At 56.1% G+C, this 25,866-nt stretch overlaps 1 long non-coding RNA gene across 1 annotated transcript, besides 37 other annotated features; it reads left to right on the top strand.

The window, feature by feature from the left end:
• On the top strand, positions 89-15,763 carry LINC02255 (long intergenic non-protein coding RNA 2255). The gene is made up of 4 exons (NR_146881.1): positions 89-188; positions 2,576-2,658; positions 11,526-12,088; positions 14,314-15,763. It is a non-coding gene; the product is annotated as a long intergenic non-protein coding RNA 2255 (long non-coding RNA).
• Positions 112-421: an enhancer, noted in NCBI's record as "active region_9750". NCBI's record gives its function as "activates an Ori minimal core promoter by ATAC-STARR-seq in GM12878 lymphoblastoid cells {active_cell/tissue: GM12878}" and the evidence as "EXISTENCE:reporter gene assay evidence [ECO:0000049][PMID:35858748]".
• Positions 3,835-3,914: an enhancer, noted in NCBI's record as "active region_9751". NCBI's record gives its function as "activates an Ori minimal core promoter by ATAC-STARR-seq in GM12878 lymphoblastoid cells {active_cell/tissue: GM12878}" and the evidence as "EXISTENCE:reporter gene assay evidence [ECO:0000049][PMID:35858748]".
• Positions 3,925-4,004: an enhancer, noted in NCBI's record as "active region_9752". NCBI's record gives its function as "activates an Ori minimal core promoter by ATAC-STARR-seq in GM12878 lymphoblastoid cells {active_cell/tissue: GM12878}" and the evidence as "EXISTENCE:reporter gene assay evidence [ECO:0000049][PMID:35858748]".
• Positions 3,992-4,492: an enhancer, noted in NCBI's record as "H3K4me1 hESC enhancer chr15:74675326-74675826 (GRCh37/hg19 assembly coordinates)". NCBI's record gives its function as "activates a minimal SCP1, AML or CMV promoter by ChIP-STARR-seq in naive H9 embryonic stem cells {active_cell/tissue: H9 hESC(naive)}" and the evidence as "EXISTENCE:reporter gene assay evidence [ECO:0000049][PMID:30033119]".
• Positions 4,736-5,035: an enhancer, noted in NCBI's record as "active region_9753". NCBI's record gives its function as "activates an Ori minimal core promoter by ATAC-STARR-seq in GM12878 lymphoblastoid cells {active_cell/tissue: GM12878}" and the evidence as "EXISTENCE:reporter gene assay evidence [ECO:0000049][PMID:35858748]".
• Positions 5,126-5,385: an enhancer, noted in NCBI's record as "active region_9754". NCBI's record gives its function as "activates an Ori minimal core promoter by ATAC-STARR-seq in GM12878 lymphoblastoid cells {active_cell/tissue: GM12878}" and the evidence as "EXISTENCE:reporter gene assay evidence [ECO:0000049][PMID:35858748]".
• Positions 5,126-6,510: a biological region, named in NCBI's record as "P300/CBP strongly-dependent group 1 enhancer GRCh37_chr15:74676645-74677844".
• Positions 5,311-6,510: an enhancer, noted in NCBI's record as "P300/CBP strongly-dependent group 1 enhancer chr15:74676645-74677844 (GRCh37/hg19 assembly coordinates)". NCBI's record gives its function as "activates an origin of replication core promoter dependent on BRD2, BRD4, P300/CBP, MED14 and CDK7 cofactors, with strong dependence on P300/CBP, by STARR-seq in HCT116 cells {active_cell/tissue: HCT116}" and the evidence as "EXISTENCE:reporter gene assay evidence [ECO:0000049][PMID:35650434]".
• Positions 6,106-6,225: an enhancer, noted in NCBI's record as "active region_9755". NCBI's record gives its function as "activates an Ori minimal core promoter by ATAC-STARR-seq in GM12878 lymphoblastoid cells {active_cell/tissue: GM12878}" and the evidence as "EXISTENCE:reporter gene assay evidence [ECO:0000049][PMID:35858748]".
• Positions 7,038-7,578: an enhancer, noted in NCBI's record as "H3K4me1 hESC enhancer chr15:74678372-74678912 (GRCh37/hg19 assembly coordinates)". NCBI's record gives its function as "activates a minimal SCP1, AML or CMV promoter by ChIP-STARR-seq in naive H9 embryonic stem cells {active_cell/tissue: H9 hESC(naive)}" and the evidence as "EXISTENCE:reporter gene assay evidence [ECO:0000049][PMID:30033119]".
• Positions 7,579-8,119: an enhancer, noted in NCBI's record as "H3K4me1 hESC enhancer chr15:74678913-74679452 (GRCh37/hg19 assembly coordinates)". NCBI's record gives its function as "activates a minimal SCP1, AML or CMV promoter by ChIP-STARR-seq in naive H9 embryonic stem cells {active_cell/tissue: H9 hESC(naive)}" and the evidence as "EXISTENCE:reporter gene assay evidence [ECO:0000049][PMID:30033119]".
• Positions 7,579-8,176: a biological region, named in NCBI's record as "H3K4me1 hESC enhancer GRCh37_chr15:74678913-74679452".
• Positions 7,857-8,176: an enhancer, noted in NCBI's record as "active region_9756". NCBI's record gives its function as "activates an Ori minimal core promoter by ATAC-STARR-seq in GM12878 lymphoblastoid cells {active_cell/tissue: GM12878}" and the evidence as "EXISTENCE:reporter gene assay evidence [ECO:0000049][PMID:35858748]".
• Positions 8,120-8,661: an enhancer, noted in NCBI's record as "H3K27ac-H3K4me1 hESC enhancer chr15:74679453-74679994 (GRCh37/hg19 assembly coordinates)". NCBI's record gives its function as "activates a minimal SCP1, AML or CMV promoter by ChIP-STARR-seq in naive H9 embryonic stem cells {active_cell/tissue: H9 hESC(naive)}" and the evidence as "EXISTENCE:reporter gene assay evidence [ECO:0000049][PMID:30033119]".
• Positions 8,662-9,201: an enhancer, noted in NCBI's record as "H3K27ac-H3K4me1 hESC enhancer chr15:74679995-74680534 (GRCh37/hg19 assembly coordinates)". NCBI's record gives its function as "activates a minimal SCP1, AML or CMV promoter by ChIP-STARR-seq in naive H9 embryonic stem cells {active_cell/tissue: H9 hESC(naive)}" and the evidence as "EXISTENCE:reporter gene assay evidence [ECO:0000049][PMID:30033119]".
• Positions 9,202-9,742: an enhancer, noted in NCBI's record as "H3K27ac-H3K4me1 hESC enhancer chr15:74680535-74681075 (GRCh37/hg19 assembly coordinates)". NCBI's record gives its function as "activates a minimal SCP1, AML or CMV promoter by ChIP-STARR-seq in naive H9 embryonic stem cells {active_cell/tissue: H9 hESC(naive)}" and the evidence as "EXISTENCE:reporter gene assay evidence [ECO:0000049][PMID:30033119]".
• Positions 13,341-13,895: a transcriptional cis regulatory region, noted in NCBI's record as "candidate enhancer chr15.2230 targeted for multiplex CRISPR interference". NCBI's record gives its function as "positively regulates SEMA7A gene expression with high confidence in K562 cells {active_cell/tissue: K562}" and the evidence as "EXISTENCE:mutant phenotype evidence [ECO:0000015][PMID:30612741]".
• Positions 17,268-17,337: an enhancer, noted in NCBI's record as "active region_9757". NCBI's record gives its function as "activates an Ori minimal core promoter by ATAC-STARR-seq in GM12878 lymphoblastoid cells {active_cell/tissue: GM12878}" and the evidence as "EXISTENCE:reporter gene assay evidence [ECO:0000049][PMID:35858748]".
• Positions 17,358-17,427: an enhancer, noted in NCBI's record as "active region_9758". NCBI's record gives its function as "activates an Ori minimal core promoter by ATAC-STARR-seq in GM12878 lymphoblastoid cells {active_cell/tissue: GM12878}" and the evidence as "EXISTENCE:reporter gene assay evidence [ECO:0000049][PMID:35858748]".
• Positions 17,478-17,827: an enhancer, noted in NCBI's record as "active region_9759". NCBI's record gives its function as "activates an Ori minimal core promoter by ATAC-STARR-seq in GM12878 lymphoblastoid cells {active_cell/tissue: GM12878}" and the evidence as "EXISTENCE:reporter gene assay evidence [ECO:0000049][PMID:35858748]".
• Positions 17,478-18,737: a biological region, named in NCBI's record as "P300/CBP strongly-dependent group 1 enhancer GRCh37_chr15:74688843-74690042".
• Positions 17,509-18,708: an enhancer, noted in NCBI's record as "P300/CBP strongly-dependent group 1 enhancer chr15:74688843-74690042 (GRCh37/hg19 assembly coordinates)". NCBI's record gives its function as "activates an origin of replication core promoter dependent on BRD2, BRD4, P300/CBP, MED14 and CDK7 cofactors, with strong dependence on P300/CBP, by STARR-seq in HCT116 cells {active_cell/tissue: HCT116}" and the evidence as "EXISTENCE:reporter gene assay evidence [ECO:0000049][PMID:35650434]".
• Positions 17,878-18,077: an enhancer, noted in NCBI's record as "active region_9760". NCBI's record gives its function as "activates an Ori minimal core promoter by ATAC-STARR-seq in GM12878 lymphoblastoid cells {active_cell/tissue: GM12878}" and the evidence as "EXISTENCE:reporter gene assay evidence [ECO:0000049][PMID:35858748]".
• Positions 18,095-18,728: an enhancer, noted in NCBI's record as "H3K4me1 hESC enhancer chr15:74689429-74690062 (GRCh37/hg19 assembly coordinates)". NCBI's record gives its function as "activates a minimal SCP1, AML or CMV promoter by ChIP-STARR-seq in naive H9 embryonic stem cells {active_cell/tissue: H9 hESC(naive)}" and the evidence as "EXISTENCE:reporter gene assay evidence [ECO:0000049][PMID:30033119]".
• Positions 18,318-18,737: an enhancer, noted in NCBI's record as "active region_9761". NCBI's record gives its function as "activates an Ori minimal core promoter by ATAC-STARR-seq in GM12878 lymphoblastoid cells {active_cell/tissue: GM12878}" and the evidence as "EXISTENCE:reporter gene assay evidence [ECO:0000049][PMID:35858748]".
• Positions 18,758-18,807: an enhancer, noted in NCBI's record as "active region_9762". NCBI's record gives its function as "activates an Ori minimal core promoter by ATAC-STARR-seq in GM12878 lymphoblastoid cells {active_cell/tissue: GM12878}" and the evidence as "EXISTENCE:reporter gene assay evidence [ECO:0000049][PMID:35858748]".
• Positions 20,680-21,180: an enhancer, noted in NCBI's record as "H3K4me1 hESC enhancer chr15:74692014-74692514 (GRCh37/hg19 assembly coordinates)". NCBI's record gives its function as "activates a minimal SCP1, AML or CMV promoter by ChIP-STARR-seq in primed H9 embryonic stem cells {active_cell/tissue: H9 hESC(primed)}" and the evidence as "EXISTENCE:reporter gene assay evidence [ECO:0000049][PMID:30033119]".
• Positions 20,939-21,168: an enhancer, noted in NCBI's record as "active region_9763". NCBI's record gives its function as "activates an Ori minimal core promoter by ATAC-STARR-seq in GM12878 lymphoblastoid cells {active_cell/tissue: GM12878}" and the evidence as "EXISTENCE:reporter gene assay evidence [ECO:0000049][PMID:35858748]".
• Positions 22,449-22,949: an enhancer, noted in NCBI's record as "H3K4me1 hESC enhancer chr15:74693783-74694283 (GRCh37/hg19 assembly coordinates)". NCBI's record gives its function as "activates a minimal SCP1, AML or CMV promoter by ChIP-STARR-seq in naive H9 embryonic stem cells {active_cell/tissue: H9 hESC(naive)}" and the evidence as "EXISTENCE:reporter gene assay evidence [ECO:0000049][PMID:30033119]".
• Positions 23,679-23,728: an enhancer, noted in NCBI's record as "active region_9764". NCBI's record gives its function as "activates an Ori minimal core promoter by ATAC-STARR-seq in GM12878 lymphoblastoid cells {active_cell/tissue: GM12878}" and the evidence as "EXISTENCE:reporter gene assay evidence [ECO:0000049][PMID:35858748]".
• Positions 23,949-24,478: an enhancer, noted in NCBI's record as "active region_9765". NCBI's record gives its function as "activates an Ori minimal core promoter by ATAC-STARR-seq in GM12878 lymphoblastoid cells {active_cell/tissue: GM12878}" and the evidence as "EXISTENCE:reporter gene assay evidence [ECO:0000049][PMID:35858748]".
• Positions 23,949-25,059: a biological region, named in NCBI's record as "H3K4me1 hESC enhancer GRCh37_chr15:74695428-74696393".
• Positions 23,974-24,183: a silencer, noted in NCBI's record as "fragment chr15:74695308-74695517 (GRCh37/hg19 assembly coordinates)". NCBI's record gives its function as "represses an EF-1alpha promoter that drives an FKBP-Casp9 reporter gene in an ReSE screen in K562 erythroleukemia cells {active_cell/tissue: K562}" and the evidence as "EXISTENCE:reporter gene assay evidence [ECO:0000049][PMID:32094911]".
• Positions 24,094-25,059: an enhancer, noted in NCBI's record as "H3K4me1 hESC enhancer chr15:74695428-74696393 (GRCh37/hg19 assembly coordinates)". NCBI's record gives its function as "activates a minimal SCP1, AML or CMV promoter by ChIP-STARR-seq in naive and primed H9 embryonic stem cells {active_cell/tissue: H9 hESC(naive and primed)}" and the evidence as "EXISTENCE:reporter gene assay evidence [ECO:0000049][PMID:30033119]".
• Positions 24,609-24,698: an enhancer, noted in NCBI's record as "active region_9766". NCBI's record gives its function as "activates an Ori minimal core promoter by ATAC-STARR-seq in GM12878 lymphoblastoid cells {active_cell/tissue: GM12878}" and the evidence as "EXISTENCE:reporter gene assay evidence [ECO:0000049][PMID:35858748]".
• Positions 24,739-25,008: an enhancer, noted in NCBI's record as "active region_9767". NCBI's record gives its function as "activates an Ori minimal core promoter by ATAC-STARR-seq in GM12878 lymphoblastoid cells {active_cell/tissue: GM12878}" and the evidence as "EXISTENCE:reporter gene assay evidence [ECO:0000049][PMID:35858748]".
• Positions 25,269-25,348: an enhancer, noted in NCBI's record as "active region_9768". NCBI's record gives its function as "activates an Ori minimal core promoter by ATAC-STARR-seq in GM12878 lymphoblastoid cells {active_cell/tissue: GM12878}" and the evidence as "EXISTENCE:reporter gene assay evidence [ECO:0000049][PMID:35858748]".

A 25,866-nucleotide genomic window follows, 5' to 3' on the forward strand; every position in this document is an offset into this window, starting at 1 on the left:
GCTGACGTCTCCCTCCTGGCTTCCTTTCATGCCAGACCAGGAAGGAAACCTTGGTTCAAAGGCCTGCCCTGGGGTGGGTGTGGGATGAAGAGAGACAGGGAAAGTCCCTCAAGATGATGAGCTTGCGACATGGGGGAGGGGAGAGGGACTCCTTCTGGTGATGCAGAAGGCCTCCGTCTACACAGCAGGTGAGTCTTAGAATGCCGGGGCGGGTCGTGGTTTCACAGCATGAGTTAGAGCTTGTTCCCCAGGAAAGGGGCTGTTTAAGTTTAGAAAGCAATGGTCCTTCCACTAGGTACAGGTTCCCCGGCCTCATGTCCATCACCACCACTGAAGCTCCCTTAGCAACAGCCCTCACCCTGCAGAGCAGCCATCCAGCCCTGCCTCTGATGCCTCCTGTGACTGGGATTAGTACCCCAAGCCTCTGTGACATTTGGGTACTCCATTAATGAGAAAGCTTTTCTTCCATCAAGATAAGCTTCCCTCTGTGCAATTTCTTTTTTGTTGTTGTTTGGAGATTTTGTTGTTGTTGTTGTTTTGTTTTGTTTTTTTGAAACAGAGTCTTACTCTGTTGCCCAGGCTGGAGTGCAGTGGCATGATCTCGACTAACTGCAGCCTCTGGCTCCCGGGTTCAAGAGTTTCTCCCACCTCAGCCTCCTGAGTAGCTGGGACTATAGGCACACACTACCACACCTGGCTAATTTTCGTGTTTTTAGTAGAGACAGGGTTTCGCCATGTTGGCCAGGCTGGTCTCGAACTCCTGACCTCAGGTGATCCACCCGCCTCAGCTTCCCAAAGTTCTGGGATTACAGGCATGACCTACCACATCCAGCCTCCTCTGTGCAATTTTTTTCCGTTTTCTTTTTCTTTTTCTTTTTTTTGAGATGGAGTCTTGCTCTGTCGCCCAGGCTGGAGTGCAGTGGTGCGATCTCGGCTCACTGTAACCTCCGCCTCCCAGGTTCAAGCGATTCTCTGCCTCAGCCTGCCAAGTAGCTGGGATTACAGGTGCCCGCCACCACATCCGGCTAATATTTTTTTTTTTTTTTTTTTGAGACGGAGTCTCGCTTCTTTGCCCAGGTTGGAGTGCAATGGCACAATCTTGGCTCACTGCAACCTCCGCCTCCCAGGTTCAAGCAATTCTCCTGCCTCACCTCACCAGTAGCTGGGATTACAGGTGCCCACCACCACGACCAACTAAATTTTGTATTTTTTAGTAGAGATGGGGTTTCACCCTGTTGCCCAGGCTGGTGTCAAACTCCTGACTTCAAGTGATCCACCTACCTCGGCCTCCCAAAGTGCTGGGATTACAGGCACTAGCCACCACGCCCAGCCTATATTTTTAGTAGAGACGGGGTTTCACCATGTTGGCCAGGCTGGTCTTGTACTCCTGACCTCATGATCCACCCACCTCGGCCTCCCAAAGTGCTGGGATTACAGGCACGAGCCACCACAGCCAGCCTATTTTTTTAGTAGAGACAGGGTTTCACCATGTTGGCCAGGCTGGTCTTGAACTCCTGACTTCATGATCCACCCACCTCGGCCTCCCAAAGTGCTGAGATTACAGGCATGAGTCATCACGCCCCACCTCCTCTTTTTTTTCTACCCACAGGTCCCATCTCAAGTCTCTGGGGCTACTACTCCCTCTGCCCTGGGTGTGCCAATGGATACTGTCCCCCCTACTGGTCCTCTCCTGGACAGGTGTCCAGCTCCCCTAAACCTCGCCTGGTTCCTTAGCCCCACCAGTTTCTGAGACAGCCCTGATGTGGAGGCTCCCTGGGACTTCTCACTGTACATACCACCTCCCGCCAGGTGCCCACACTCAGTCCTAGGCACAGAGCTGGCAATCCCAAGGGGCTCCACTCCTGAGCCCCAGCATCCCACCTCCCACAACTCGACCATCTGGGTGGCCCCCAGGCCCACACCCATGCCACACCCAAATCCAACCCCACCAGCTTCCTCTGCCCCTGCCCCTCACCCCAGGCCCCTTTCATCCAGTCTTCAAAGCGTCAAACTGCTGCTCCCCCTGCTCCTTCTTCCAAGTGTCTCCAAACCCCACCCCTCTCTTCCCAGACCCCGAGCCCTGCCCATCAGGCCACCATCCTCTGTCCCCTAAATTCTGAAAAGGCCCCTCCCTGCTCTCCCCGCCTAAACCCGCCCCCTCCCATGTGTCCTGAGAGCAGCATAGCGTGGAGGTTAGGGGCAGGGCTCCAGTGCATTCCATCCCCTGCTCCTCCACTCACTGACTGTGTGGCCTTAAGCAAGCTGCTCAACCTCTCTGTGCATCGTTGTCTTAATAGTATCTCTCTCCTAGAGTTGCCTGTGAATAGTCTGGTTGCCAAGGAATTCAGAGTGGCCGATAGAGGACAGAAGGGAGGGGTAAAACAAAGCAGAAAGGGGCACAGGAGCCAGGTCCTTAAGTCCTTAAGACCTTCAATGCTCAACTAAGGCCTGGGAAATTTCTCCTGAGATGAGTGGAGAGCCTTCAGGATAGTCTTAAGTCTCTGATCAATGTTGTGCCTTTGGAATGTCTTGGTGCCTATGGTGCCTATGGAATGTCTTGCTTTCTTTCCTGCAGAGACTGAGAGCCCCTCCTGTCCCAGGGGTGCTGAGAGGTCTGTCTCTGGCTCCCCCACCGCTCCCATGTCTCTGCTGGGACTGGTAAGTCATGGAGCTATGCCCGGCAGAGTTCTCTTGCCAGACTCCAGGCCTCTCTCACCACAGGAGATCAGGACTGGACTCCCAGGGGTCTGACCTGACTTCCAACCCCAGGAGGGTGGGTGGTGTCCAGCGAGGGCTTGTCTAGGTCGTCCAGCCTTCCGCTGTTGGCCTCAGGGACCATCCAGGCAGCCTGCCCAAGTTACTCTTGACCCCTCCTCTGACACAGACTCTCCACCTACCTACAAAGCTCTTTCACAAATGTGTCATTATTTTGTTTAATCCTCATAACAACTCTGGGAGTTGGGTGTTATTATCCCATTTTACAGTTGGCAAACTGGATAATGTATGATGTCTTACCTACTCGCTAGGAGCCCAGTCACAACGGTTCATGCCTGAGTGGGAGGAGGATTGGGGGTGCTCCTCCACCCACCTCAGCCAGCCAGGCCCAGCACTGAGTGAGGGGCCAAGTGGGAGGGGAGGCAGCCTGTGGCGGCGGGAGGGGGGCCCAGGGAAGTGGAGGGCAGGTGGGGGCTGCTGGCACTGGGACCTGCCAAGTAGAGAGCGAGGCCAGAAGGGGCTGGGAGGCCTTGAGGGCAGGGAGAGCAGGAACGGGAATGAAGAGGCAGGCTAGGAGCAGGCTCCAAATCTGAAACCTGGGAGGAACCTCCTTGAGTCACCCTACTCTTTGTACAGATCAGGAAATTGAGGCCCACCCAGTCAGGAAGAGAAATTCGTCTAAAACCACTCAGCCTGCCAGAGACCAAGCCAGAATCTGTGCCAGAGCGCACCCAGGCTGTTCCTGGAGAACCCAGGAACCAGCCCCACGGGGCCAATCAGCTGGCACTGGGCTGACCAGCAGGCACTGAATGAAACTTCTAGCCTCCGGGCCTCTCTGGGTGGCCAGCAGGGGGCGGTACTGCCCCAGGAGTGACAGCTCCCAGACTCCCAGCCACTGCCCTCAGGCCCATCCCAAGGTCCCAGGGCAGAACCAGGGCTGGGGACACAGAAGGCATAGGTGGGAGGCAGGGTTTCTGGGGTGGGAAGAACAGCACACAGAGCTGAGCATGGGACTCCCCGGCCCCATTCTGATGCCAGCTCCTTCTAACCTGAGCGAGGGAGGAAACAAGCCCTTCCTTTCTCCTTGCACCTCCACCAGTTGAGAGAACATTCTAGAAATGCACCCAGCTCCATCCAAAGTCTGCTCTCTCGAGAGGGGAAGGGGCTGGAGAAGAGACTGTCTCCCAGGCCACAGGTTTCCACAGAAAGTTGTCCTGCAAAGGAGGCTAGACCTAAGGAGAAACTTCTAGAGGCCTCTATACTGAGTATCCAACCTCAATTCCGGGAGTGTCCCTTTCCCAAAATAATGCTCTAGGAGAAGGTGGGGAAAGGGTGGCCAACTGCAGTGCTATGTGAAGACAGGGGCTAGATGTCCTTATTGCTGTTTCAGGACCCTCTTAGGTGCGACAAGAGAGAATTTTCTCCAGGATGGCTAAAGAAGAGCAGGGGCATGGGGGAGTGAGCAGGGCCGCAGGGGTCAAGAAGATGAGCCACTCTGGCCCCCAGGAGAGATGGCCAGGGTGCAGGGGGCTCCGTGTCACCCCCATCAGCCCTGGGACCCTTCCCAATGGCGAGGGCTTGTATTCCTAACCAAACTTCTGGATCTGGTCCCAGCGGGAACCCCTGCTATAATGAGTGCCCCCAAGGCCTCCCTTCAAAATCCCAGGAGTCCAGCTTCTCGGGGCAAAAGCCCCACAGCAGCTGGCAATACAAGATCTAGGAGGCAGGGGATCTTGAGGCCCCAGGTCAGAAAGGCCCCACGCACCTGCCTCTCCCAAGATTTAAAATACCAGGGGGCTAGGGGTTCCCATCCCCTGCTACTAGGCTTCGTGGTGGTCCTCAGCCCCAAGCCCACTGTGCCCTGTGCAGCATGGACAGATGGTCTCCAAGGGGCCCCTTTCAGCACCACTCCCCTTGGTTTCCCATCAATGCCACCATACACCAAAGTTCACACACTGTCTACTGGAAAGCCCCTGTCAGGGCCAGTTGTCCTACAATTAACTCTTCAGTTCTCCCAGGCTGATGGTTCCACCACACAGAGAGCAGACAGGGTGGGCAGGGGCTTGGGGAGTCACAGCAGGCACCCAGGGACAGAGGGGCAAGGAAAATGGAGATGGGGGCACATTCAGGGGGTGGGGACAGCATCCTGGCAGGTCCCGGGCCTGCACCACCTGGAGGAGCCGGTGACTCACGGGGCTGACAGAAGAACTGAAACCAGACAGGAGAGTGCAGGAAGGAGGAAGAAACACCCACCAGGTAACCTGTGTCCTCAGACATGTGCACTTCCAGGCCAGAGTTTCTATGAATCAGTGTCTCTAGACACAACCACCTTGATCCCTTCCGTTGCCTCATGCTGACGTCTGAGTCTGGCCCGTGGCCATCTAAACCCCCGCACTCTGGTTCAACCACCATCAGGCCCACATAGCAGCTGCTTCAGATCAAAAATCTCCTCTTCAGGGGCTTTTTCACCAAGCTGATGGTAAAGGCAGGACTCCTGGGTCCCGGTGTCCACTGCAGCCACTCTGGCTTCCCCTTAGCCCCTCTGCACCCCCTGCTCACCACCTGGCCAGTGTTTCTGCTCTTCCTTCTGCCTAGCATTCCCCTACCACCCCTGCTTTGCCTAGCAGGTACCTACTCATCCTTCAGGTTTCAACCCATGTCACCTCCTCCAGTGAGCTTTCTCTGACCTCTCACCTAAGTCAAATCCCCCATTACATGTGCTCCTGGCACCATGCACCCCTCTCTGAGCCCTTTGTAGAGTTTAGTTGTGTGGTTAGTGATGAGTGCCTGCCTCCTGTACTACAGCTGAAGCTCCAGGAGGGCAGGGACCAGGGCCTGGTCTAGTTCACCCTCCATTGTCTCTGCAGCATGTGGCAGAGTCAGTGCTAGGCACATAGAAGGCCCTCAGTAAACGTGCTGTGAATGAGTGGGTTCCCCAGCCAGCTGGATGTCCCACGGTTTCCCCCACCCCACCCCATCTGGCTCTAGCTCCTCTCTGTGACCCTTTTCATCTGCAGTCCTTGGAGCCTCCTAATGGTTGGGCTCTGTGGTGGGGACCAGGCAACCTGCCCCTGGGGCCTCAAGATCAAGGCAAGACACAAGACTCAATACCCCTCCAACAGGTTACAGGGGCAGCCTCAGTGGCACCAATTGCTCTGACCCGTGACTCAGAGGAAGCCAGTCCTCCAGAGCCCACATCCAGTCCACATCCTCCTTGATGATTTTGCATCCAGCTGCTGTTCCAATCTCAGGGCCTATGGCCCTCAGGGACTATCCAGCCTCCACCTAGAAATCAGACGACCAGAAATGGTTAGGACCCAGCCCAAGGTCACACAGCATAGCTGTCACAGAGCCGCACCAAGAATCCAGGGCGCCAACTCTAGCATAGGGTTCTCCCCATGCTATAATAAATGTAGCTATTTTTAGGAAGTGAATTAGCAAGTCAAATATGAAGTCTACTAATAATACCACATTTCTGCTTTTCAGAGTCTTCATCACCTTATTTGCTCCTGCAACATCAGGGTGGGCTGGGCACTGAAGTAGGTGGTGAGCTCATCTGAAAGGTGTGGTCCAGAGAGAGGAAGTGACTGGTCCTGAAACGCAATAAGCCCAGCCTTCCTGCCCGCCCTGCTCAGTGGTACTCCCAGAGAGGGTGCAGTGCCCCAGAAGTCCCCTTCCCAGGGCCTGGCTGGCAGCCTCCCACCTGGGCAGGCTCCTCGGGGCACTCAGACCAGCCGCTGCCTCCCTCGCCTGTTGTCCTCTTGACCCTCCCACCCCATCCCCCAAGCTGAGGTCAGCCTCCTGCCTTTCCTGGCCCCTGGCAGACCTTGCTTCTGTGCTAGCTCCAGCCCAAACCTGCATTCTCACAGCCTGTGGGCCTCAGGTGGCCTCAAGGCCTGGCATCCAGTTGTATTTTTTCCCCTGCAAATTCCTTAGCACATGCCAGGGGTAGCTCTGAGCAGGAAGGCACGGGCAGCCAGCTTTGCAGCCTGAGCTCCCCTCAACTTGGGACCTCAGTTCCCCATCAAAAGGGACAACAGCCTCATCCCAAGAGGGGCTGGAGTTAGATCCAGCCCCTAGTCCTGCAGCCCCATCTCCTACCCCTTCCCCCTCCCCCACAGAAGCTCCTCAGACATCTGGCAGCACCAGACAGGGCTGGATGGACGGAAACATGAGGTCAGATCCTCAATTGCTTCCTGAGCCCTTCCCAGAGGAGCAGGGCGCTTCCCAACTGGGAAACAGCTGAGCTGCTCCATAAAGGAAACCGGAGAGGCGGGGAGGGATGGAGACCATTGCTGGCAGAGGAAGCGACAGCGCCCCTATTTCTCAGATGGGCAACTGAGCCACAAGCCATAGGCCAGCATGCTGTGGCCACCACAAGCCCCCACCTCTTGTGAAAGTCTCTACTGAGCCCAAGGGCCTAGCATGAGCCAAGGAGGGGGTTGGGCTATGGCTAAAAGGATATCTGGGCCAGCTCCCAGGAGCCTTGACTCCCAGGACAGGGACCTGTAGGGATGGGTCCTTCACTCAGACTCATGCTGGGGAATTCTGCAGTCAGGAAGGCTTCCCGGAGAAGGGTGCTGTGGGGGGCTCAAGGGCAACAAGGAGGGAGGAAGGCATTGAGATGGGCTCAGCAGGTGCAAAGGGCAGAGCAGAGGAGGCGCTCAGAGATCCCCCTCAGGTAACCGACCTGGCCTGTCTCGCCTCCCGGCACCGGCTGGCTTGCAGAGGAAGATCTGGGCTCATTGTCCATTGTAAGCTGGGTATGTCCCAGTAGCTCAGGCTCCTGGACCCTGCTGGGCCAGCAGGGAGGGGCGTTGTAGCAGGAGGGAGACAGGCCAGGCCATCCTGATGAGGAGAGAGGAGAAGGAGGGGCCTCCCCAGGGTGGCAGGCACAAGCCTGTCCAGGGAAACCCACAGCTGCACAGGGGGCAAGTGGGTGCCTCTCCCTCTATCCATTATCTGGCAGGATGAGATGGGCACTCTCCTTGCCTAGGCCCAGACCTGGTCCCCACAGCCGGGACCCTCCCACCCGGCATTGTCCTCCCTAGGGAGCCATGCTGGTTGTGGGACTGCGGCCATGCCTGGCAGGGGATGGTGCCGATGCTGACACAGCAAGAACCAGGCCAGCCGTGAACAAAGAAACATGGGAAGGGGCCACGTCTGCAGGAGTCGTTCCTGAGGTGGCGGCCAGCACCGTGGACTGTAGGCTGAGGAGGCACAGGACGGCCTCTCCCTGAGTGTTCCAGCCAGCATGTTCCTGATCAGATACTCGGGGGCCAAAGCTGATCAAGGCCCTCGGGGCACAGCTCAGTCCAAAAATCCCCATCACCTCCCCCCAGGGCCCAACCCCCTTCACTCGTGACAGAAAAGGCCTCTGAATCACCTCTCAACCCTGACAGCAGGGTCCGCTCACCACCCCCACTTTTTTTGCCATGATCCCCCTCAGGGTGGGAGGCGAGACTGGACAGGAACAGGGGAGCCCAGAAGGGCCCATCCTGGGCCCAAAGGCAGACAGCACCCATACAGCAGGGGCTGCAGTGCCCTGATTGGCTTGTGGCAGGTGTTGTGGGGGAGGCACCCAGTAGCAGGGCAGCTGGCCAGGTGTGGGAGCCCTGACGTTGGGCCTGTCACACAGCATCAGGGAAGGAGCTGCTAGTACCGGTGGGGCGAGGGCTGGGAGCCTCGGGGAAGCGGTGGCTTTTCAGCTGAGAGAGCGAGAAACATTGGCTGAAGTGGAGTTGGTGCCCCACTTTCCAGGAGGGCTGCCCACTGCCCGCAGGGCCCCCGGTCAGGGCGGGAGGGCTCGGCACCGAGAGGTCCACCGAGCCAGACCAGGCAGAGAGAGCACATGGACCGGCGGAGACCAAGGTCCCAGAGAGGTGGGGAACAGGAGGCGCCCCCTCCCCTGCCACATGAGGAAAGTGGGCATGCTGGGCAGGAAGGGAGGGGATGGTGCCAGAGAAGAGTGCCAGCGTCCAGGGTGAGGGAATGCCAGCACCATAGACTGTGGGTGGGGCAAGGTAGGCAAGTCCAGTGTGGCTCCAGGGTACCTCAGATGCTGAGATGTAAGCAGGGTAGGGACATTTTATCCATAGCCAGGTTCTGGGAGTGCCCGGGGACAGCATTACCCTTAGATGCAAGCAAGAAGGAGCCCTGCCCTGGCACCTGCATTCTAGAGGATTCCACTCCAGCCTTCCACTGGCCTTGCCCCTCCAACAGGGAAATAAAGTCCATGAGCCAAGGAAATGTGTCCACCCGAGCCCCACATCCCCCCTCCAAATGCAGAACCCCAGAATTCCCTGCCCACAGGGCCCCAAATCTAACTCCACAGCCCACGTGGGCCTTTCCGCTGGGCCTGCCTTCCTGAGAACCGACCTGCAGCGGGTGTGCACACCCCAAGGCCTCGGGAGTGGCCAAGGGGCAGCCACTGCTACGTATATGGATGGGTCTGGGAAGGTCACACACTGCCCAAGGGGGAGCCCGGGATGGGAGCTGGGGTTGGCTCAGCCTCTGCCTGCCACATTCCAGTCCTGCATTCCAGGAGCCCAAGAATTCTAAGTACAAACCTGGTCCTCAGGGTGTTATGAAGGTGTATTTGCTAATGTAGGAGGATAGAGCATATCCTATTTAGAGGTTGTTGGCTTGATTTATAACTTTGAAATATCCAGACATATAGTATGTGGGCCTCCATTTTTACTCCTGCCCTGGGCCCAGGCAATGTTAGGGGTAGGATCAGAGGGCAAGCCCTGGCCCCTGCCCCACCCCTCAGGAGACCCCTGCTCTCCAGCCAGTGAGCGCTGCCGAAGGAGGGCTGGGCAGGAAGCCAGCAGCCGAGGGAGCCCATATGCACCTGTGGACCTAGCTTCAGGGCTGGTGGGACCTAGCAGGCTGGGTCCTTGGGGCTAGGAGCAGGGGAACCCGAGAGAGCGCTTCTCCCAGGGTTGAGCTTCTGCTTGAAGCTGGGAAAGCCACAGAGAGGCTGAGCTTGTGGCCCAGGGACACCCAGCCTGGATGCGGCTGCTGTGCCCTCCCCCTGGAGGTCCCTCCTGCTTCCAAGGCTCACCCACCTGTGCATCCAGCTCGGAGCTCAGGGTGCTTCGATCCCTTTTTTGAGTTCATTCCTGTGGCCAAGCCCTTCCCCCACGGTTTCCCATGCTGGCACCTCAGGAGGATCCTGCCCCTTGTTCCCTACCCAGCTTCAACCCCTTCCTCCGAGGCTCCAAGCCCCCTCACCCCCCTCACTGCAAATCACCTTTCTTCCATTGGAGCCAGGATCTTAGCTCAGGGAGCGACCCCAGCCCCAGTATACAAAGAGAAGCCTGCGGCCCACAGTCCCAGAGCGAGGCTGCAGCTGAGCCCAGGCTAGGACGGGTCTCCTGCCCCACCCCTTCAGCTCAGGGGGCATCACCCACCTCTTTGGAGCCTCACAGACCCCCCTGGTTCAAATTTCCACTAACACTCTCTGTGATCTCCCACAAGCTGCTTTATATTCTGAGCTCCTTCATTTATGAAATGAAGATAATAAATTTTGCCTTGTAAAGTCGTTAGAGGGATTAGATAAAATACACGCATAGGCCAGGCCCTATGCCAAGAACACCTTAGGGCTGAGACCTCCTTCCCTGCCTCACTCTGGCAATGGACATTACTGAGCAGCACCAGGATCCCGAGGCCCAGACAGATGTGCCTCTTGCCCTCCAGGAGCTTCCCTCATGCTGGGAAAACAGACACCAGCCAGGAACCCGCAGGAGGCTCCCAGAGACGGGGAGTGTCCAGGAGGGAGACGAAGCTGGAGGCAGGAGGGGAGGGCAAGGGGTTGAGAAGGCTGGTCAAGGAGGGCCTCTCTAAGAATATGCCCTGAGGACCTAAGGGAACCAGTTGTGCAGCATGTGGAAGAAGAATGTTCTAGAGAGGGGGAACTCAGGACGGTGCCTTGCAGGTTCTCAGAAACGCCTGGCGCTTATCTGAGCACACACTCACGGACCCTGTTACCACACCACAGCGGGGCCTCTGTGTGGGGCTGATAAGGCCAGAAAAGATCTCAAGATATTTTCTTTCCTTTTCTGTGAGTGGCCTGAGATAGGCTGTGTGGGGACATTTGGCTCACGGCCTGCCTCACAGGCCCCCCCCGTCACCAGGGCACCATGGAGCACTCACTGCTGGACCTCCCAGTGGGGACTCGGGATTGGCCCCCGAGGGGGGCTGCCAGCCAGTGCTGGGGGCCCATGCGTGACGGGGCTGACCTGGCTCCCCTGTCGTGACCCACAGAGGCCTGCTCTCTGCTTGTGCAGTCTCTGCCTGCTCGAGTGTACAGCGTACAGGCTCTGGGCTCAGAGATGAGGGCTGGAAGCCAGCTATGTCACCTTCATTCCCTCACCTGTAAAATGGGGGTGCTGACAGTAACATCGTCCTCAGAGGGTTCCTGTAAAGGAGTGGGGGAGATGGTGCTAGAGCCTGGCTCATCCAAACGCCAGGCAAGGTGGCTCACGCCTGTAATCCCAGCACTTTAGGAGGCCAAGGTGGGCAGATTGCTTGAGGTCAGGAGTCCAAGACCAGCCTGGCCAACATGGCGAAACCCCCGTCTCTACTAAAAACACAAAAAATTAGCTGGATGTGGTGGCGTGCGCCTGTAATCCCAGCTACTCAGGAGGCTGAGGCAGGAGAACAGCTTAAACCCGGGAGGTGGAGTTTGCAGTGAGGCAAGATCGCGCTGCTGCACTCCAGTCTGGGTGACAGAGTGAGACTCCACCTCAAAAACAAAAACAAACAAACAAACAAAAGCTCAGTAGGTGCTACTTCCTTTCTTACAGGACCTGTGCCTCCTGGGATGACCCCCACCATCCACCCCTAGGCACCAGGACTGAGTCGGCTCTGAAAAGAAATGGGGAATGAAGCTTTGGGACTTGGTTCCTGCCTTCAGGGAGCCAATGGTCCAGCCAGGGGGATTAGGGTTCATGTCCCTTCCTGGGCCTCCAGGAGGTCATGACCTTCAAAGCAAGAATGAGGAAGCCCACGATGGTAGCGTGGGGCCCTGCATGAAGTGCCTGTGACGGGAGATGGAAGAACTCTGTCATATGTCCGTGAGAGTGAAAGGAACCTCAAGCATTCAAGGAAACCAAACCGGTACCCAAGATAGATGAAGAGATCAGGAATTTACCAGGTCACAGAGGCTTCTTGGCAGCCACCTGCAGGAGACGGATAACACCATGGCCAGGGCCCCCATGCTCCATACCGTGTCTGTGACCTCCACAGACTCACTCCACAATGTGACTTTGGGTAGGTCACAGTACCTGTACGGCCTCAGCTTCCCCACCTGTCAGATGGGAAGAACAACAGCGCCCTCCCCATGAAGCCATCATGAGCACCACACCAGGTAAATCATGACCTGCTCTCGTGCATGCAGGGATGTCAATGAAGACGAGTTCCTTTTCCCTGAAGTGATGAAAGGGACTTTTAGAAAAGAGGAAGTGGGTGGATTCTTAGGAAACCTTAGTTCCATCCCAGGCAAGTGGCTCTGATGATTCAGTAGGTGACTTCCAGGTGTTCCCAGGAGGCGCAAGCTACCAAAGTCATGTCCTCTCACCTGAATTTTCATCCAGCCCAACCCTGCCTCTGGACACCTATCCCCTCTTGGGACCTCGAGGCCAGGCCTGGAGAGGATGTGAACGCCTGGAGGCCCTCCCAAGCCCAAGCAGGAGGTAGACGCAGGGACAGTGGGCATCTTCCATCAGGCAGAGCTTGGCCAAGATTCCAGCAGCACCCAAAGCCTGCTGAGCAACTCACAGATGCCCATGCCTGGCAGGCTGGTCTCCATGGTCAGGCCCCAGCCTCTCTCTTCTGGGCCCCTCTCATCCTGCTCCCCAAAGTCCCACAGGCTTCCCTGCCTCCATGACTTTGCCAAGGCCACCCACCTGCCCCCGTACACTCCTGCTTCCACCTCTGTGCCTGCAGGCCTGCCCTACCTGGAGGCCTTCCCCTGTGTTCTATGGGTTTCTCACCACATGGTCTCATCAGTTATCTATCAAAGCGGCTGACGCTCCCTCCACTCCTGCCTCTGCCCCTCCTTGCCTCTGCCTGTGTTCCCCCTCCCATCACCACCTTAGCCTGTCTCCCCTCCTTCCTCAGGACTCAGGAGCCACTGAGGCTGTGGGGCACCTGCCGACATTCTGCCTGGCCTCCCTGGCTTCTCAGCCTTCCCCCACCGCCTACTGCTGCCTCTGGGCATCAAACCAGCTGCTTGAGTCTTTCCCATCCCACAGGACCCCTCTCTCAATAGCCCCACACCCCCACACCTCCAGCCTCTGCCCTCGGCTCTGGAAAGCACGGTCTCCACCCACTGCCTCCATTAACCCCCTCCTCCCCATCCCCTTAATTCCTGGGATCTAACCCCTGCCCCAACATCCCACCGAGGCCACTGATCACCTCTCTGCTGTTATGTCTGGGGCACTTCACTGCCACCCCTGCCTCCACTCCTCAACACCATTCCAAAGCACAGACCCTTTTTTCTTTCTCTTCTTAAAACATGTGCCCATACTCCTGGCTCCTGAAACGCCCACCCAGATTTCCTGTCACCTCCCTGCCCACTCCATCACTGTCCCCTTCAAGGTTCCACTTCCTCCTCCTGGGGCCACCCTCAAAGAAGCCCCACCCAGGGGTCTGTCCTTGGCCTTTCTCCCCTCCCTTGCCTCCACCCTGGGAGACAGACCTCTCCCACCCCTAGCCTGCCCCTCCTCCTGCATCCTCAAGCCCCCCACCCTCTGGCTATTGAGGTCCAGACCACCTCCAGGATGTCCCTTGAGATGCCCTCCCTTCTCTCTCCCTTGTCCTCAGCCCAGATGCTGAAAGGGGCACCAGCTTTCACCCCTCCTGATTTCATCCAGTCTCAAGCCGTTAGATGCTGTCTGTACTGTCCACACCCAAACAGACGCCTGACTGTCCTCCCTCCCCCAGCCAGGCCTCTCCTCAGCCGCCCACATGACACTCCACTTGGATGTATAACAAGCATCTCAGCCGTTCCAGCTCCCGCTCCCCACAGCACCCCAACCCGCTTCCCCCACCACCGCATTCTCCCCACCCCCGGCTGGCAGCTTTCTCCTTCCTGATGCTCAGACCAAAAGCCTTCGAGGCATCCCAGACCCCTCTCCCTCTCCCATCCACTGGCAAACCCTACTGCTCTAATCTCAAAGGAGACCCAGAGTCAGACTGCCGCCCCCACCCTGGGCCAGGCCCCCATCATTTCTCATCTGGATCATTGCAGGAGCTTCCTAATTGGTCTCCCTGCTCCCACCTTTTCACTCCTGCCCCCAGGTGTTCCCAGCACAGTGGCCAGAGCCGTCCTGTTCAGATATGTCACTGGATCGCACCTCTCCAGTTGACGCTTCCCAATGGCTCCTGTGTCGCTCTCAGGAAAAGCCGGGGAATTATTGCGTGCCCTGGCCTCCTTGCCTGCATCCTCTGCTCTCCTCCCTGCACCCTCCTCTCTCTGGCTGCACTGCAGAGGCCTCCCCTGGGGTATCAGTTGAGGCAGGCTGGGGTGTGCTGTGGTGACCATCCCTACTCACTGGGCCTTAAAACAGAGAGGGGCATTTCTCATTCCAGCTTCACGTCATGAGGGTCAGCAGGGAGGGCTACGCTGCATCGTCCTCTCTCATGACCATGTCGGGGACATCTGGAGCATCACCTGCTTCCAGGCAGGGTGAAGGGAATGTGGAATCACTCGCTGACTCCTGCATGCTTCAGCTCGGAAGTGGCACGCATCTCTTCCACTCGTATCTCACTGGCCAAAGCAGATTACACAGCTGGGCCTAACCCCAAATGGAAGAAGTGTAGCCCTTCCCTGTTTCCAGAAGAAGAGACAGGCACTGATGGACAGGGGTGACAGCCTCCCCGCTGCTGTTCCTCGAACGCGCCAGACACGCCCCAGCCCCGGGCCTTTGCCCTGGCTGTTCCCTCTGCCTGGAGTGCCCTTCCCCAAACACCTGCACAGCTCGCCCCTCACCTTCTTTCAGTCTTTGTTCAAATGTCACCTTCTTGATGACGCTTTCCCTGACCACCTCACTTAAAACTTCAGATGTCTCCTGGACACGGGCTGCCAATCCCCCTTACCTTTACTTTAGCTTTCCACGGTTCTAACAGATTACCTAATTACATATTTCTTATGTCTATTACTATTGTCTGTTTCCATCAGCTAGAAGGAAAGCCCCTTGAGGGCAGGGGCATTTGTTGGTTTTGGTGACTGATGTAAGCCCAGCTCCCAGGACAGTACCTGGCACCCAGTAGGCACTCTATACTTTTGCTGCATGAATGAGTGAATGGATTAGGGGCCCCACTCACCACCAGGTCTCGTTCCCACATCCTTCAGAGCTTTTCAATCTACACTTGAATCCCCAACCCAAACTCGCTGCCTTCCCCAGGCCCTCACTGTTTCTCGTCTGGGTCCCCAACTCATAACAGCCCCTGACTGTCCCCGGTCTCCAGCAATCCCCTTCCAATCCAACACCGCTGTGAAAGGCAGGATAGCAAGGTGATTCTGGCGTGGGCTCAGGGTCCTTTCTCTGGCTCTGCTGTTTACCAGCAGTGTGACTTTGGACTGGTTCCTTAACCTTCCTGTGCTCCAGTTCCACATGTTGTGATAATAGCACTTCTCTCATAGGGGTTACAGTGCTGAGAGGTTTAAATGAGATGCTGCATGCAAAGCACATTATAAATGTGGATTATTGCTTTACACTTGCCAGATCTTGGTACCAGACAAAGGAGATCCGAATCTGCTGAAAACTGTCCCTTGGCTCCTGGTAGTTTTCAGTTTCTTCTCTGCACCCAGGGGCCCTCCCAAGCTGGTCTCCTTCTCACTTGCCTGGTCTGTCCCTTCTTGCTCCCGGTCCCACCAAACTCCCCAGGGCCTCCTGAGCCCGTCATGCTGCCTCCTGCCCTGGCCTGGGCATTGGGTGTTTTCTCTACTCTTCACTGACTTTTACTTGCTTTCTTACTTAACAGAAATCCCAGAGCTTTTTTGCACTTTCATACACAGAAAACTTTCAGATTTTTTTTTCGAGACAGGGTCTCGCTTTGTTGCCCAGGCTGGAGTGCAGTGGTGTGATCTCAGCTCACTGCAACCTCCGCCTCCCAGGTTCAAGCAATTCTCGTGCCTCAGCCTCCCGAGTACCTGGTGCACACCACCACGCCTGGATAATTTTTGTATTTTTAGTAGAGACAGGGTTTTGCCATGTTGGCCAGGCTGGTCTTCAACTCCTGACCTCAAGTAATCTGCCCACCTCAGCCTCCCAAAGCGCTGGGATTACAGGCGTGAGCCACCGCACCCAGTCTCACATTCTTTTTAGAGCTGTCTTGAATTCCATCATGGGGACATACCATTGGGATATATCAGTCCCAAGCTGATGGCTATTAATGTTTTTGATCTTCTGCCATCACAAGTATGCAGCTTGGTGTGTGTGCATCTGTCATATTCGTTCGGGTGTCTCTGTAAGACAGACTCCTGGAAGTGGGATTACTGGGTCAAAGGTAGCTAGTAAAGCACGACGGGCCTTGCCAGCCCAGTGTGCTCCCCACCAGACCCAGGATCTAGCCCCAAGTCTGAGTGATGCAGAATTCACGCCCTCACCTCTGTGCCATCCTGCCTCCTTCAGCAGTAGGGCTGGAGCGCATGGTGAGGGGCCAGTTCTACTTTCTGCCTCAGTCAGGATCGGTCCACTTGAGCGTGATATGTGGGGGCCGAGCCGGGAGGCGTTGGAGCTAGCCGAGGAGATGAGGCCAGCCCCCAAACACTTCCAGAACACTCTGAGCCTTCATGAAGGCTGCAGGAGGGAGCATGGCCTCTTGCCCACATTCTCCCCACCTGGGATCTTCTCTCTGGCGGCTGCCTCTGCCTCCCCATCAGCGCCAGAGCAGGACTGGCAGTGGCACCCCAGGCACCAGTGAGCAGGCTACAGGGTCCGTCCCCACCTAGGGCTGCATGGTCAGACCCCTTGAAGAGGGAATGGCAGAACCTCAAGACCTTGGGTGGAGGGCAGCCCAGGAGAGCCAGCCCCAGGCCATGCCATGGCTCCGTGGCTCATGTGGGCAGCCCCCCACTGGCCCTCACAGAGGCAGAGCTGAGTCAGCAGCCAGGGTCGGGGTGCCTCTGAGGCCCAGGCCTACTTCACTGGGAGGTGTCCCTGCACAGAAGTGAGAGGGCTCAGGAGGGGCCTGGCTCTCTGCCTCTGCTGCTTCAGGAAAAGTCCTGCTCCTTGGCTGAGCCCTCAGGGTCCTTCTCCAGCCCCCTGCCCACCGCCTGCCCTCCGGTCTCCTACACCCCCTCACACTCCAGTCAGTCATGTGGAAATGCTTGCAGTTCTCCACATGGGTTATTCCACTGCCTGCCTCCACGCCTCTGACCACGCAGCTCCTTCTTTTCCAGCTAACTCCCACTTGTCCGCAAAGACAATTCAAGAGTCCCTTGGAGCAGCCTGTTCGCACCTATGCACTCACACAGCACCTTGTTTGTTTAGACCCGCCCAGTGCCTCACAGCAACCCCATCTGGGTTCACTGTCAGAGCTCTGAGCCCACGGGGCTACTCGTCCCAAAGGCATACAGCATGTCCCAACATCTGACTTCGAAGCTGGGACAGGCCTGGCTCCGGGAGGGACAGAGGCTTCTACCTGGGGTAGCTGAGCTGTCCAAAGAAGTTTCAGCCATGTCGAGCCCCTGGCGTTGCCGAAATCCCCCACCCCACGGTGCCACAGCACCAGGGCAGCCCCTAGGAAAAGCCAGCCCCTCAGAGGCCCTGTGCTAAAGACCAGAAATTGCCCCTGGGTCTCCGCAGGAGTTCTGCAATGGGGAAGTGAGCCCTCCTGAGGCCTGGCTGGCAGGAGGCTCTTCAAGGCCAGCATCATGTGGACTTCCCCCAACCACTCGCGTTTCTGCACAGCAGCCACGGAGACCTGGGGGCTGCTGAAAAACGAGATCAGAAGGCAACGTCAGCCTGAGTGGGCTGAAACCTGAGATGAGGAAATGAGAAGACGTCAGGGGGCTGGAGGACATGGGTTTGAGGACAGCCAGCACCCAGCACTGCAGCTGAGGCCTCCTGAGGGAGCCAGAGGGAAAGCAAGTCCCCTCCCTGCGGCCTGAGTCTCTGCCAGTGCCCAGCACTCCCAAAGGATCCACCCCAACCTGAGAGACCCCAAAGACATTGGAGCAGCCCCAGACACCTCCTCCCAGGGCCACAAAGGCCCCTGACAAGCCCACAGCAGTCCAAGGCCTCCAACTGGAGTCATCTTTGGTAAATCTGGGGCCCATCAGCACCCACTGCCCTTCCTGGTGCCCTAAGCATGCTGGCAGGGGGACTGGAAACTGCATCCCAGTTTGCAGTGGGTGTATGTCTCATACACCCACAATACCTGATGTGGGCGTGACTCACCTTGGGGACCTGTGAGTCAATAAGGGTGTATGAGTAAGGGGCAGAGCATTTCAACTTAGTCCCATAGCACATGAGCTCACTAAGCAAACATTACCTATGTCTAGATTTGGGGCCAGTCACTACCCACTGGAGGCTGTGGGCTCCAAGGTATGGCAGCAGGGGAGGCCAGCCAGGCTCTGCCCAGCTTGCCCCTCCTTGTGAGGACGGACCCAGCCAGGCCTCCCGCATCCGCCCTTAGACTGGGGGACCCTGGGTGGGGGTAGAAAGGGGGACTGAAAGTGGTGTCTGGAGTTAAGCCCATCTCCTCATCCCCCACCATGGGGATCAAGATGGGGGCTAAGAGTCACCCCACCACCACCCCAACCCACTCTGAACGCAAAACAGAAGGGGACAAGCAAAACAGAACTGAAACTGGGCAAAGGAGAAACAGGTCTGGGCCCGCCCCAGGGACCTCTGTATCTCACCCCTTACCCATACACATCCTGACCAGGGCCTCTCCCCCAGCCTGGGAAAACCTTTCAAGCTTGGCCCTCTCTCACCTGGGCTCTCTCAGCCTCCTGCCCTCCCCCATCTTCCCTGCTCCCAGCCTCATGCTGCCCCAGGCCTCACCCCATCAGAGCTAAAAGGACCCCAGGCTGGGCATCTGTAGATCAGGGATCTGGTCTCCCTCTGCCACTACCTTTTGGGATGACCTTTGGGAAGTCATTCCCTTCTCTGAGCCACAGTTTCCTCATCTGGCCTGGGCTGTGGGCATAGAATCTGCAGGTGAGGGCTCTAATGGGTGAGTTTCAGGCCAGGCTGAGACTTTTCACATTATAACACTGAGGCACCCAGCACCTTGACTACCACTCATCCTGGGGACTTGGGAAGGGACAGAGGCTGGGATTGGACAGTAACAGCCAAGACCTTCCCAGGGCACAAACGCTGCCTCCCTGAAGCCTGCCCTGACTGTCCATGCAGGTCACTCCCATCACTTCACCTCCTCCTTCCCTCCACTCAGCACCAGCCACCACTGGGTCACATCTATGTCCCTTTGGCTCTGCAAGAGCAGCCTGGACCCCTGCATCCCCTACCCCAGCACAGGCCTGACACCAAGCAGGGGCTCAACAAAATATGTGTTGAAGGCCAGGCACAGTGACTCATGTCTGAAATCTCAGCACTTTGGGAGGCCAAGGCCAACAGATCTCTTGAGTTCAGGAGTTCGAGACCAGCCTCGGTAATGTGGTGAAACCTCATCTCCACAAAAGATACACAAAATTATCTGGGTGTGGTGGCATGCACCTGCAGTCCCAGCTGCGCGGGAGGCTGATGTGGGAGGATTGCTTGAGACCAGGAGACGGAGATTGCAGTGAGCCAAAATTGCACCACTGTATTCCAGCCTGGGTGACAGAGCAAGACCCTGTCTCAATGTCTCTCTCTCTCTCTCTCTCTGTGTGTGTGTGTGTGTGTGTGTGTGTGTGTGTTGAAAGAATAAAGGCAGAGAAAATAACAAGTGTTGGTGAGACTGTGGCAAGATTAGAGCCCTCACACTCTGATGGCGGGGATGTAAAATGGTATCACCTCTGTGGAAAGCAGTTTGTCAGTTGCCCAAAACGTTGAACACAGAGTTACCATGGGATTCTGCAGTCCCACTCCCAGGTAAATAGATGTTCCAAAGAGTTGAAAACATCTGATCACACAAAAACTTGTACACAAATATTCATACAGCGTTATTCTGGATATTATTATAACAGCCGAAAAGTGGGAACAATGTCCATGTCCATCAACTGAGGCACAGATAAGCAACATGGCCTAGCCACACAATGAGCTCTCATTCAGCAGTGAGAAGATGGGGCGTCCTGGTTCAGGCTACCACATGATAACCCCTGAAAACAGTATGCTAAGTGAAAGAAGTCAGACACAAAAGGTGACATGTACAATTCCATTTATATGAAATGCCTAGAAGCTGGATGCAGTGGCTCACGCCTGTAGTCCCAACTATTTGGGAGGCCCAGGCAGGAGGATTACTTGAGCCCAGGAGTTTGAATCCAGCCTGGAAAACATAGCGCGACCTCATCTCTGAATAAATTATTTAATTTAATTTTTTAAAAAATGTCCAGAAGAGACAAATGCATAGAGACAGAAAGTACATTAGTTGGGGGACAAGGAAAGGGGAAGTAACTGCTAACAGGCACGAGGTTTCTTGGGGGTGATGGAATGTTCCAGAGTTAGCTAGAGGTAGGTGTCATAGAGCATTATGAATATACTCAAAACCACTGCAATGTGCATTTTGAAATGGCAAAATTTGTGTTATATGAACCTTTACTCAATAAATACATAAATAAATAAATAATAAATAAATAAATAAATAAATAAATAAATAAAAAGGCAACAACAGCCACCCCAGGGACAGGTTTGGAAAGCCAAACTTGTCTGACTGGCTGGGTGGCTTGTCTATTTGTGTGTTTCTTAAAACAGCATCCTACAGGAGAACTATTCTTTGCTCAGGGAAACCCCCACCCCCTCACTCCACTCCTACCTCGAGACAAGGCCTCTGAGGAGCAGATGGGAGGAGAGGGGCTCTGGGGAAACATAGGGGGCATTGCAGTGGGGTGCTGCCCTCTCCTTGGGCAGGTGCCCCCATGATGAGCAGACTCAAGGTCCAGCTACAGTCCCAGCTCTGGTACAGGTCCTGTCCCTTTCCTCAGTTTCCCCATCTGCAGTCTGCCTCCCGGGGTCTTTCTGAGGTCAGTATGTAGCATGACAGAGCCTGAGAACTGCCAAACTGCCATGTTCTCTCAGAGACCCCTTTTTGGCATGCATTCCAGATGTGGGACCAGAGGTTGGGAAGTTCTTCCTTTGGTCTGACCACAGTATTCCACTTGGAGACAGCAGTGGGAAGAGGCCTTCCACTGAGTCACCCTGACTCAACTTTCATCAGCTTCAGGCCCCCCGTGGGGGTCCTTCCCCCACCGGATGCTCACTTTGCTGTAATGGGGCAGGATGTGGGTTCCCTGCTGTGGGAGAGCAGCCCCCACAGCAGCTGCTCCCTAAGATGGTTCTGGCAGGAACCAATGAGAGGAGAAAGCTGATCCTCAACCCCTGCAGGGGCCCTGCAGCCCAAGCAGAGGGCCTCTCAGCCCACCTCGGTCCCAAGTAGGACAGATTGACAGGTGACCTCCCTGTCTCAGAGCCTCAGGGTGTCTTGGAACAAGTGATCCCATCATCTTCCTCTGAGGTCCAAGACTCGGGTGCTAATGGACTCTGTGTAGGGAACCCTGGTCACTGGGGCAGACTCTGTCCCAGACCTGATCTTTGCCATTTTGCCAGAGTGGCCCACCTGACTGCTTCTCTCTGCTGTGTGTATCACTTGTATTAACCGCGAACCCAGCAAAGAGAGCAGGAGCTTGGGCCGGGCACAGTGGCTCACACATGTAATCCCAGCATTCTGGGAGGCTGAAGCAGGTGGATGACTTGAGGTCAGGAGTTTGAGACAAGCCTGGTCAACATGGTGAAACCCCGTATCTACTAAAAATTAAAAAAAAAAAAAAATTAACCAGGCGTGGTGTAATCCCAGCTACTCAAGAGGCTGAGGCAAGAGAATCACTCGAACTCGGGAGGCAGAGGTTGCAGTGAGTCAAGATCGTGCCACCGCACTCCAGCCTAGGCAACAGAACAAGATCCTATCTCAAAAAAAAAAAAAAAAAGTAAAAGTAGAACCCCTGTTTCTTGAGGACAAAGATTAGATGCATCTTTTTGTTGTGAAATTTTGGTAAACTACTTACTCTTTCTCAGCCTCAGTTCTTTGAACTATGAAATGGAGACAATAGTAATAGTATCAACCTCAAAGGGCTGGTGAGAAAACTAACCAAGACAATTCACACAAAGTTTCAGAACAGTCCCGGGCAGGTGCGTGACTTACGCATTTGGCTTTTGTTCACCACTATTACTACTTGCTTATTGAAGCTGAGCCAGGTGGCTGAGCAATGTCCCTTTCTGGCAAGGAGGGTGGAGGCAAGTGTCACATTTCAGAAAGATCCCTGGGCTCCTGTTGAATCTGTCCCCACACCAAAACATGCCCGTGGGGGCTCTAGCTCCTGCCCCAGCAGCGAAAGGGGCTCCTCCTTCTCTGGTGCCCAGTCCTAGCTCACCTGCTCTTCACAAGCCTCCTCCCAGCACAGCCTGCACCACACAGGTGCTCAGTAAGGGGGTTGCTCTGAACAGGGAGCAGGCCCACATGCTGAGAGTGGTGGAGGCGTGCAGGCTCTGATGACCACCTGAACCCAGACTCCAGGGCAGGACAGGTCCTTACAGACCGTAAGGGCTTCCTGCCTACCCTCTTCCCATGCAGTTACCTCAACCCTGGGACACCAGGAAGGTTGAGCATTCCAGGAAAGCCCCGACCCACCCAGGAAACCCAAGTACCTGGTGGGGCCTCATCTGGCCCATTGTCCTGAAAGGACAGGAATAAAGGCTCTCTCCTCATGGCCACACACCCTAGGGACGTCCAGCCTCCAGCTTTCTGTGGGTGGGGCAAATGACTGAGGAGGCTTCCCTCCCTGCAGGCGCCTCCCTCTGGGGCCTCCTGTGGTCCAGTCGTCCCTGGTCCCCAGCTCTCAGGTGGGTCATAGGGCATCTCAGCAGGACCACCAGGAAGAGCATCAGGAGGGGAAGGAGCCAGAGAGCCCTCCAGGCCAGTGCACTGCTAACTCAACATCTCATCTTCCTATCTCGTCCCTTCTGCTCACCTCCGGAGACTCCCCCTCCCCTCTCATGCTCTTCACTGGCAGGTTATGATGGCCCAGAGATCCCCACCAGAGTCCCAGATATCAGTGGGGATCCCAGCCTATTCCTCCAAGCTCCCAGTTGCCAGTGACAGGGAGGCAGAAACAGCCTGGAAATTAACTGTGGGTTCTCCCTGAGCCTGTGGATACATGGAAAGAGAGCTTCACCACCACCCCCTTCTCTGAATATACATACAGGATCTGAGGAGGGAGGATTCTGTGTGGATGCATGTGTGCACAGATGTGCATGTTTGTACGTGTGTATGGGTGAGCAGGTCATACGTGTGGTCCCATGTGCCCACCTGTTGTATATATGCATGCTTGTTTTGTGTAAGTGAGCATAAGAGGTCAAGCCAGAGAGAGAAATAGGAACAAGGAGAGACAGAGAGAGAGAGAATAGAAACAGAGACCAACAGGGAAACAGAATGAGACTGAGACAGAGAACAACAGAAGGCCAGACAGGTAGACAAGCCACAGTTCCATCTTCCCTGGTGCTGGCTGCCAAGGCAGACAACTCTCCTCTCACTTCATTGATGTTCTGCCTGTGTTTATACCCATGATTGGGGTGGAGTTCAGGAAAGGATGTATCAGGGCTAGGACGCCCCCACCTCCACACTCACAGGGCCAGTCAGGGCCCTCTGCAGGGGCTGCCATTTCCTCAAGCTGAGGAATGGGCTTGGATCCCTCGGATGCCTTCCAGGGTGCAGGGGCGCTCCCAGTGACTGGGCTCTTGTGGTGGCTGGGGAGGGGGAGCTCCTCTGACAGGCCCCATGCTGGGGGAAACGTCCTGAGACTGACCTATCACGGGCTGACATGCACACCAAGGAGGTCTCACATCTGCTGGGAAATGAGGGGCTGGTGGAGGTGAGAAAACCTCAAGTTCTAATGCCTTCCCAACACCTTCACCTCACCTGAGAAGCTTCTAGATTCCACCCACCCCTGTTTCCTTGGGGGAGGGTGTTGTGTGGAGGTGGGAAGAGGCAGGAGTCCAGGTTCTAGGCCAGGCTCTGAAGGGGCAGGTAGCTCAGAGCAAGAGGCTGGCCTTGCACCTGCTCTGCCTAATGGGACAGTAATGCCCACGATGGCATTCCGCCTCTGAGGGCTGTGGTGAGGCTGTGGAGAGATGTCAGGGACAAGAAAAGGCCTTGGAAACCAGCTGTGGGAAGAACAGCCCATGAGCTCAGCATTTCCCCTGGCTTCCCCGAAAGCCGGCCCCCAGGAGAGGAAGGTGACTGTGACTTCTGCCGCCACCACTTCCTGCAGCTGGGACCCTGCTCACTCAGAATGTGGAACCGTCATGGGCCAGCAGTGTCACCTGCACACTCACTCCTGCCACCAGGAAACCCTTCTGCAGGGCAGGTCCCCAAGCCCCGTATCTCAGGTTCTGACCAGGATGTGTCCTCAGCAGTGGTCGCCCGACATTGATGGGAGGGACGGGTCCCAGCTGGGCATCAGGATATGGAGGGTTTCATTCCAGCTCTGCCACCAAGGTACTGGTTGCCTCGAGGCATTCCCCTTGCTGGACCTCATTGAGGAGACTTCCTGTATTGCTAAGCAGGCAGGAACCCCAGAAGCTCAGAGCCGGAAGGCACCAGGGCTTCCCACAAGATGTGGAGGACCCAAAACAGGGAGACAGGCCCTGGCACCTAAGCGTTCCTTCTGGGCTCTACACAAGGTGTGGGTGGCACCAGAGCTACTGCAGGCTACTTGATCCAAGGGGCAGTCCTGCTCCACCGTGGGCTGGACGAAGACATCATCTACTCCAGGGCATCCACGCGTGGGGTGGGAGCCAACAGACCTGCGGTGCTGCCTTCCAGCTTGGGACTGGCCCCCGTACTCCATCCCGTGCACCCAGCCCTTCCGGCTCACCCCTTCCATGGCATGTTGTGCTCTCTCGCACCCCATGCTTTGCATGTGCTGGTTTCATTACCTGCAACACCTTCACCCCACTTGTGTCTGGCTAGCGTCCCCTCCAGAATGGAGAGTGGACAAAACATGGGGTCTGGAATTCCAGGGGTCAGGGCCCAGGCTGTTAGGAAAGGCAGAGTGTGAAGCAGACCCTCAGCAGGCCTCACAGCAGGGAGTGCTGAGCTCAGGGTTCTCAGGGGCCAGGATGGGACAGACGCCGAGGAGATGGGGGTCGGTAGCTGGGGCAGATTGTGCAGACAGTCTGGATTGTGGAGGAGCTGCCGGGCGCAGGGCCCCACTTGGCGCGGGCGGCTGTGGGGGAGGCTGAAACTGCAGACTATTTTTAGGCTCCTGCTGAATTGAGAGATGAGGATGCTCTGGGCTACAAGCCCTCATTCGCTGGGGAAAGACTAAGGGGGCCCCAGTTCCCCCGATCTGCCCCCAGAGCTCAAAGTCTCCAGAGCTTCCTCTTTTGTCTCTAGGGACCAAGGGCTGGGGTCAGGAAGTGGACTGGAAGTATCCCCAGCACCCTAGATAGGCAAACACCCACAAGAAGTGATTTCCATACCATTTGCACACTGCCCTGCTTCCTGATCAGAAGGAACGGAAACGTTCCCTTTCAGAAGACCCTCAGCGGAGCAGTGCATTCACCAGAGTCCACTTTCACCTGCCCCACTGGGTATCAGGAGAGTCCCAGGAGAGCGACACAAGCTCTAAAGTCAGAAAGCACAAACGGGGGTTGTTAGCACTGTGGTGTAGCATCCGCTAGGCTCGGGGTAGCAAATAAGTTCCATCTGATCAATTGCTGGTGACTCCTAAGGAGAAATGCTGGTGAGGATCCATTCATTCATTCCACAAATAATTTACTGACCACCTACTGTGTGCTAGGTGCTACTCTAGGTGCTATGAAATTTAGCTGTGAACAAAAAAAGACAAAATTCCCTGCCCCCGCAGAGCAGATATTCCGTAACAGTGTTGTCCAACAGAAATACAATATGAGCCACACACATAATTTAAAATGTTCCAGTAGCCACACTAGATAAAAGTTAAAGAAGACCAGGAGCGGT

Source organism: Homo sapiens, chromosome 15 (assembly GCF_000001405.40).
Source record: "Homo sapiens chromosome 15, GRCh38.p14 Primary Assembly".
In the NCBI taxonomy this organism is placed as follows: Eukaryota; Metazoa; Chordata; class Mammalia; order Primates; family Hominidae; genus Homo; species Homo sapiens.